The sequence below is a fragment of the Homo sapiens genome, chromosome 1 (assembly GCF_000001405.40).
Source record: "Homo sapiens chromosome 1, GRCh38.p14 Primary Assembly".
NCBI classification, from domain to species: domain Eukaryota; kingdom Metazoa; phylum Chordata; class Mammalia; order Primates; family Hominidae; genus Homo; species Homo sapiens.
This window is the reverse complement of record NC_000001.11, coordinates 5,076,974-5,085,463: the sequence shown is the minus strand read 5'-3', so window position 1 is coordinate 5,085,463 and position 8,490 is coordinate 5,076,974. Positions and strand designations below refer to the sequence as shown.

At 44.0% G+C, this 8,490-nt stretch overlaps 1 annotated feature.

The window, feature by feature from the left end:
* Positions 755-1,954: an enhancer, noted in NCBI's record as "MED14-independent group 3 enhancer chr1:5143570-5144769 (GRCh37/hg19 assembly coordinates)". NCBI's record gives its function as "activates an origin of replication core promoter dependent on BRD2, BRD4, P300/CBP and CDK7 cofactors, and independent of MED14, by STARR-seq in HCT116 cells {active_cell/tissue: HCT116}" and the evidence as "EXISTENCE:reporter gene assay evidence [ECO:0000049][PMID:35650434]".

Below are 8,490 nucleotides of genomic sequence, written 5' to 3'. Positions count from 1 at the left end.
GTCCAGGTCCAATGAGAGAGGGAGTTGGGACATGCCAGTAGAAACCAGAACTGTTATTCTCACTCATCTGCTGAGATCCAAGGGTCTCATTTCTTTTAGGGTTTTCCTGAAGGCATCCATTTTCAGCCTCATAATTTTTAGGCTCTGTCACAGCAGTTTATGAGAGTAATTATGTTTATCCTTTATTTGGCTAAAACTAATGAACCAATGATAAACAACTCAGCATTTTCTTCTCTGTTGAATAATGAATATTAATTAACCTGTCAAAAAAGGACTGGCACTCATTACCAAATATAGCATTGACTCATTTGCATGCCAAGGCATGGAAAGGCTGCCACGGGTTTTGAAAGGTAAGTGTGTTCAGATGCTGTCAGAGCACTTGCATTGCCTATGGAACCAGTTTGTGGTCTCAGCCACAGGAGCTACGAGGCACCGAGTTTTGGCCCCAAACACCTGACTGGAATTTGAATCTTCTGTTGGCATCATAGCCGCTCATCAAACTTCTCAGTGGTTGATTTGAAAATGTCTGTGCTTGGAAAATGTGCCACCAGCAAGCACCAGGAACTCGGCCAAGGGCAACTGCAGTGCCATCTTTGGTGACATATGGTGGTATCTGCATTTTGATAGAGCCAACATATGGATTCTAGGCTTCTCCTCTTGGGAGGAAGGATGGTGTGGTGAAGAAGGAGCTGTTGATCCATGAATTGGGCATCTGCATAAACACAGTGTATTTGGCCTGGGCATTGAGTTGGCTTTATTCTGAGCATTCTTCAGGTGGCATTTGGAAAGGCTGTATCTCCCATTAGATAAGCAATGGGCGGTTTGACCTGGCCAAAAGGGAGCAATAAAATAAGGATAAGTGTCATGTTGTTTTTGTATTTTTATAAGACTTCAGGAAACACTTTTTAAAATACAAAACAGAACTGACTTGCAGGAAATAGTAGGAAATTCAATGATTTCATATTATGAGGCAGAATTTTTAAAAATAAAAATTAATCTTGAGTGAATGGGAATGTGAAAGGAAGAGAATAAAATACTAAATTTTTTTGGCCAGACATTCCTCGACTAATGGCTCATTCCTGTAATCCCAGCACTTTGGGAGGCTTAGGTGGAAGGATTGCTTAAGGCCAGGTGTTCAAGTCTAGCCTGGGTAACATAGTGAGACCCCCATTTCTAAAAAAATTTTAAAAATTATCTGGGCATGGTGGTGCATGCCTGTAGTCCCAGCCACTTGGGAGACTGAGGTAGGAGGATTGCTTGAGTCTAGGAGTTTGAGGCTGCAGTGAGCTATGATCTTGACACTGCACTCCAGCAGGACAACAGAGCAAGACCCTGTCAAAAAAATATTAACTTTTCTGGGATCATGAGGAAGGACTCCCTCACTTTATCCCTTAACTCAGCCATAGTTTCAAGGGACCATGTGGAATCAGGAAGGTCAACTGGGCATGTCCTGACTTGCCCTTTAGGACCTGGGCTGGTCTCTGCCCCTTCACTCAGAATGCTGACACATAGGACACTCAACTGAGAATCAACTGCTCAGGGCCAATTTTTTTTTTTTAATTACCAAAGAGAAAACCAAAGTTATAAAGCATTTATGACTCAGACTGACATTGCCCCTCATTTATCTACTCCCAGGCCTGAACAGTGCTCTTTCTACTCTATCAGCTTAGCTATGCCTTGAAATTGAAGAATAGAGACGAGAGCAAGGGGTAGGAGAGAGAGAAGAAGAGAAAGAGACAGAGAGCGCGCACGAGAGAGAGAGAGAGAGAGAGAGAGAGAGAGAGAGAGAACAATACCGGGAATGAAACAGTGGTGTCATTTTTGTGCATGGTAAGGTAGTGTGGGGTTTAGAGGGAACATAGTCCACACCAACATTCTCACTTCTGACACCAATTGCAAATTCAGGAGGTTTCCAAAACCATTCTCAATTTCAATAATTTTTTAGGACTTGCAGAACTCAGTGAAAGGTGCTGTTATAGTTTATCATGAGAAACTGCTGCATATTACAATCAGCCAAGGGAAGAGGCACCTGGGCAGAGTCTGGCAGGTTCAAAATATAGTTTCCAGATGATATAGTTTGGCTCTGTGTTCCCACCCAAATCTCATCTTGAAGTGTAATAATCCCCGTGAGTCTCAGGAGGCACCTGGTGGGAGGAAATTGAATCTTGGAGGTGGGTTTTTCCTGTGTTGTTCTCATGATAGTGAACGAGTCTCACGAAATCTGATGGTTTTCTGAAGGGGAGTTCCCCTGGACACGCTCTCTCTTGCCTGCCATCATGGAAGACGTTCTCACGAAATCTGATGGTTTTATAAAGGGGAGCTCCCCTACACACGCTCTCTCTTGCCTGCCATCATGTAAGACGTTCTCATGAAATCTGATGGTTTTATAAAGGGGAGGTCCCCTGCACATACTCTCTCCTGCCTGCCATCATGTAGGACATGCCTTTCCTCTTCCTTTGTCTTCTGCCATGATTGTGAGGCCTCCCCAACCATGTGGAACTGTGAGTCCATTAAACTTCTTTCCTTTATAAGTTACTCAGTCTCGGGTATGTCTTTATTAGCAGTGTGAGAACAGATGAATACACAAGGTGTCTCCTCCCTATAGAGCCCTGGACAGTGCTAACTCCTCCAAGCCATGACATGTGACAATGCACCTGGACTATTTTCCACAGGGAAGCTCACCTGTGCCTTGGTGTCAGGAGTCCACCCTCATTGTGGCTTCATGAACAGCTGCCCACATGGCTGACCTTTAGCCTCCAGCCCTCTAGAAGAGGAGTATATACTGCATGCCCCAAAGCCCTCATCACAAAGCACATTGCTAAGCTGCGCAGTGGCCAAGGCCCCAGGTAAATAGACACATCCTTATCAGAAGGGAAATGCCAAGGGCCTACACAGCATGTCTCAGCAGCTGGGGACAAAAACCAGAACTTTCTTCGGGCAAGGTTAAGTCATTTACTGTACAGGCAGTGACAATTAGCCCAATAATTTTGGGCGGGGTTTATTGAGGAATGAACTAAGATGAGGCAGAAAAGTTCTGCAAGTCCTTCTAAAAAATTATCGAAATTGAGAATGGTTTTGGAAACCTACTGAATTTGCAATTGGTGTCAGAAGTGAGAACGTTGGTGTGGACCGTGTTTCCTCTAAACCCCACACTACTTTACCATGCACAAGTGACCAAGTTATGAAGGGCCTTGAGTGCCGTGCTGGGGACTCAAGACTTTATCCTGAGAACAGCAGCAAATGGGCCCTTAAGGTGTTCAAGCAGGATCCAATATTGGTGTTAGGAAGCCAATGACCACAGGATGGAGGAGGATGGATGGGAGGCAGGGCAGGGGCAGACAAGGTGAGAAACCAAAAGCAAAGAAGGCAAGGCAACGAGCCTCCACCTCGAAAACAACCAAACTTACCCTCCAAAGGATGAGGACTTTGTCTCTGAAATCAAAACTCAGTCTCAGAATTGATTTTTTTGAAAAGTCTATTTTTTTCTTGATTTACTTATTGTCCACAGGATTGAAAATGTAAGAAAAAAAGTTGAACTTTAGAATTTAACTTTCGACATCTCTTTATTAGCAAGGCATGCTAGTAAGCAGACTGGGCTTTCAGTGTGATGCCGTGTGGAACGTGGAGGAGTCACAGGCATGTGGGTTGTGATGTCCTCAACACAGAGTGGTGTGGGGATGCAGGAAGGATGTTCCGTAAAGGGCCAGTGTGCATAGGAGATGTGAGGGGGGAGTGTGGTTCTCCCCAGCTGAACCTGGAGGAGGGACAAACATCCCTTCTCTGTTCCATGAGCACTTCTCATGAGAGAAGCTCTAGGTCATCTGGGTTTTCCTAGATAATGAGGACCTCATTTTCTTTCCACTCAGGACACTTTATGAAGACCGCTATGTCCCTCTGAATTTCTATTAAGAAATCCATTTATTTACAGGAATCTTCTAAGAGCACTTTCTGTTAACCATACGAATGGTGTAGGTGAGGAAAAATAATATTCTCCACTTCATGAGTTCTTAGCTGAGACTCCCGGGAAGAATAAAACAGATTATCAAGAGGAAAATGGACAGAAGTTGAATTGCATGTACAAGTATATGTTCTGTACACATGAGAAATAACCCAGAGAGTTGAGTAAATCTCTAGGGTAGATCTCAAAATGGTAGTTTAAACTTCAGGCTTAAATACCATTCTTCTCTGAAACAAAGAAAGAAGGATGTGAGAAAAGACCTGTTAAAGAGACATAGCCAAAGCCTGGTGCTTTCACATGCACCTGCAGTCCCAGCTTACTTTTTCTTTAGTCGGCTCTCCTTTTTATTAAGCAATTTTATTTTTTAAGATAACTTCAATTTATCTTTAAATAGTTCTAAATCTAAAAAAGGCACCAAGATGTGAAGCCTCACTCCCCATGTCCTGTCACCCAGTTTCTCTTCCCAGAGGCAGCCACTGTTTCTACACACACTCACACACACACACTCTCTCTCTCTCTCTCTCTCCCCTTTTTCTTTTTACTTTTTTTTTTTTTCTGAGACGCAGTCTCCCTCTGTCGCCCAGGCTGGAGCGCAGTGGCACGATCTCGGCTCACTGCAACCTCCACCGCCGGGTTCAAGTGATTCTCCTGCCTCAGCCAGGATTACAGGCACGCACCACCATGCCCGGCTAGTTTTTGTATTTTTAGTAGAGACGGGGTTTCTCCATGTTGACCAGGCTGGTCTCGAACTCCTGACCTCAGGCGCTCTGCCCGCCTCGGCCTCCCAAAGTGCTGGGATTACAGGCGTAAGCCACGGCACCAGGCCCCCTTTTTCATTTTTTAAAATCATACAACAGTAGCATATGCTACACATTTTGCCCCTGACTTTTGTTTCCATTTTATTATATATCTTGTTGTTTCCCTCGTAGTTCATTTAGGAAGCATTCTTGCCCCTCCGTATAGCTGCATAACATTCCACTTCATGGATAGCCCAGTATTCACTTGATCAATCCCCTTTTGTTGGATATATAGGTTGCTTGCTGAGGGATCTCGTAAGTATGTTGCAGCCCTTGAGTCCACTGGTAAAAATCTTAGATGGGACTCCATTCATCTTATGGGATACATTGTAACATTACTGTGAATGGAAATCCAGTATCCTTTTGGGTGATTCAAAGGTTACTGTAATAACAGTCAATACAAAGGAAACAATGTTAATGAATTCTCCATAGATGCTTTAGCCTGTCCCAGGTGAAGCTTGTTGAGGCTGCTCTAGCGTGTTAAAGGCATAGTACCTCCCACTGGGGACTTTCTTGGAGAGACTCAGTATGTCAAATCATCACGGAGGGTGACAAATGTGAGTGTGGGAAACAGCCTGGTTCAAACGAGCATGTTCAGCTCAACCACCACCTGGCTGTGTGTGTCCAAACAAAACAGGTGTCTTGCCTGATTTGTGTCTCGGTTTCCTCACTAGTTAAATGGGGATTATGGAACTGGGTGTGGTGGCTCATGTCTATAATCCCAGTGACTCAAGAGCCTGAGGCAGGAGGATCACTTGAGCCCAGGAATTTGAGGCCAGCCTGGCCAATGTAGTGAGACCCCACCTCTGTTTAAAAAAAAAAAGAGAGAAAAGAAAAAGAAAAGAAAAGAAAAGAAAAAGGCAGGAAAAGGACCTTAAACAAAGCTAAGCCTTGTTATATAGATTTAAGTCGATGCCTTCTTCATTGATGAAGGCTCTTTAGTGATATGGGGGTCAACCTAGCAATTCTCTCCCTGGTGCAGAGAGGGAGACACCCTTCCAAAAGGAGATTTATTTTACAGATGTAAATCTCTCTTGCAAAAGGGTAGCTTTTTAGTCATATTTGTTTTGGGGGTGGCATGTTTTGTTCTCCAGCAATAGCATTGCATTACCAATAGTTTGAAGGCAGGTCATTGGGCTCGATATTTTTATTTCTGTTCTGTATTTCTTCATCCTTGGGGAGCCACAAAATATGTTAATGGGTAATGGAAGAAGGGTAGAGAAGGCATCCATAAAACACAAACCACACTTGAAATCCTGATGATTTGGACTGGAATATTCTGATCTGCCCCTGAGGTGAGTCCTTTGCAGGAATCCGGTGCTTTTGGATGCAGAATGTGCCATGGAAGAACTCCAGAGACACCTGGAAGACAACACTGTACATACTCTCGTTCAAAAAGCATCCACAAAAACTCCCTTATCTGCAAGGCAGGCAGCAAATCTCTAGGAGACAGGAGGAAAAGAGTCAAGGAGCCAGAGGATACCAGCTCGCTGAGCAAGCAAAGCCTTGGCAGAATCACTGAGAGGGAACCTGTACTTACATTAACACTTCTGTTATAATTCAGTGACGTTACAAGAAGCAACAAGAAATGACTGATTAAGACTCATTGGAAAGAGGTTCTAGTGCAACTTCCCAGAGTACAAACAAAGCTGAGTGATCCATAAGACACATCTCTGTCCCCCAAAGACAGACAGAGACTCCACAGGAGGGGTGTCTCCAGGGACCTCGCCCCCCAGAGAGGTAGAGACAATGGGCAATAGTGAGTTGGATGCAGAGTGGAGACACCCACAGGGTCATTGCCATCTCTCTGTGGCATGGGGATTCATTACACGTATCGCTACAGAATGGAAAATGTGCCATTGGGGGAAGCTTGGATTGATTATTTAAATGAAGGCTCATAAGATAGGTTAAAGAAGACAGTATTCTAAAAATAAATAAGCCAAATTATCCTTCATCTTCAATTTATTTAGCCACTAATAGTTTTTTAAAAAAGGTTCTCAGAAGGAAGGATAATTAGCATTTCAGGAGACTGTTGTGGTCACTGTTGCTAGAGGGCAGGTTTGGCTGATGCCGTCCAGGCTCTGATCACAGACTTGCTTTTGGCTGGTGCAGGTTGGTCTGTGTGACTAGAGTGCCATCCATCCCAGGACCACCGTTTTCCAGGTTTATGACTCATTTTTTTCCACACCAGTGATGATACCAATTGCCCAGGGAAAGGGTTTTCTAGACAAATATGGCTGCCTTTTCAAATCACCAAAATGCATCATACATATTTATTAAAATTCTTTCTTCATACCCACCCTTTTTTTGGGAGATTCTCACATAAGCTTCCTTGGCTGCCATAACAAAAAACACCACAGTTAGAGTGGCTTAAACAACAGAAATTTATTCTCTCTGAGTTCCAGAGGCAGAAGTCCAACATCAAGGCATTGGCAGCAGGTTGAATCTGTCCGTGCCTCTCCCCAGCTGCTAGTGGTGGCCGGCGATCTTTGCTTTCTTTAGCTTGTTGGAACATCACCTTGATATCTGCTTGTGTGTTTCCATGGCTGTCTTCTCCCTATGTCTTTTTGCATCATCTTTCCTCCGTGCACATCTGTCTCTGTGTTCAAAGTTCCCTTTTATAAAGACACCAGTTATGGTGGATAAAGGCCCTCATTTTGACTTGATTCTATCTGTAAAGATCCTGTTTCCAAATAAAATCACATTCCAAGGTGCTGCATTTTTGTCTTTTCTTGAGGGACATAATTCAACCCATAATAGCCTTGCATTTGATTTCTGTAATGTTTGACTTCTTTCATGTTATCAGAGAAAGAAACTGAATTCCTGATGACCAAATGAAGCGCTGAAAGACCCACGTGGAAACTGCAGACCCTTCATGAATGCTGTTGGGTGGGTGGCCACCAGATTTTATTTGTCTGTTTCCTCTATGGCTGTTTGTAGCCCCCACCCATCCAGCTGCATAGCATTGTTCATAGGGCAGAGCATTAGCTAGAAAGGGTAGAGAGAGCTGCAGAAAAGGAAGAGTCTCATCTGCCAGCTTGGCTGGCATTGTCTTTTTTTTTTTCCCCCCTGTTGTAGGATTAGGAGAGTGAGGGTTCCATACCATGTTCTGCCATATTGTCAAGGAAATTACAGATTTTGCATATAGCAGCACAGAACCATCCAAAGTCAATAATGATAATTACAGCGCCTTCAAACTTGATTTCCCTGGCACTAAATGGACTGTGACTGGTGCATTTCTGGAAAACATCGCCCCACATCTTACTTGGTGGCACTTACATACATACAATGATGTTTTGTCCCGATTGAGTACAGCAAACTGGGTTCAGTGGAGTGAGCACTCGGCAGCTAAAGGTGCTGTTGTGGCTTTGGAGGGAGAGATGACTTGGGAAGAATAAATACAGGTAGAGATGGAAAGAAAAAAAGACCCCTAGGAAATGAAGTGCCCTGGCAAAGGTTGGTGGAGCTGGCAGTGAACCTGGAGGAAGTACAGAGGCCCAGAAAGGAGTAAAGGTCTATCTTCCTGCCCAGTGTCTGCCTCAGGTGCGCTCTTCTGACTTCTGAACTTCACAGTGCAGAGTTTAGAACAGCATCAAAGAGCACTGGCTTTACGATCAGGCAGACCTGGATATAGAGCCCAGATCAGACACTTCCCAGCTGTGTGACTTTATATAAATGTTTCATTTTCCCACTTACTCTAATGGAAATGTTCAGACTTGTCTCAGAGAATTGGGA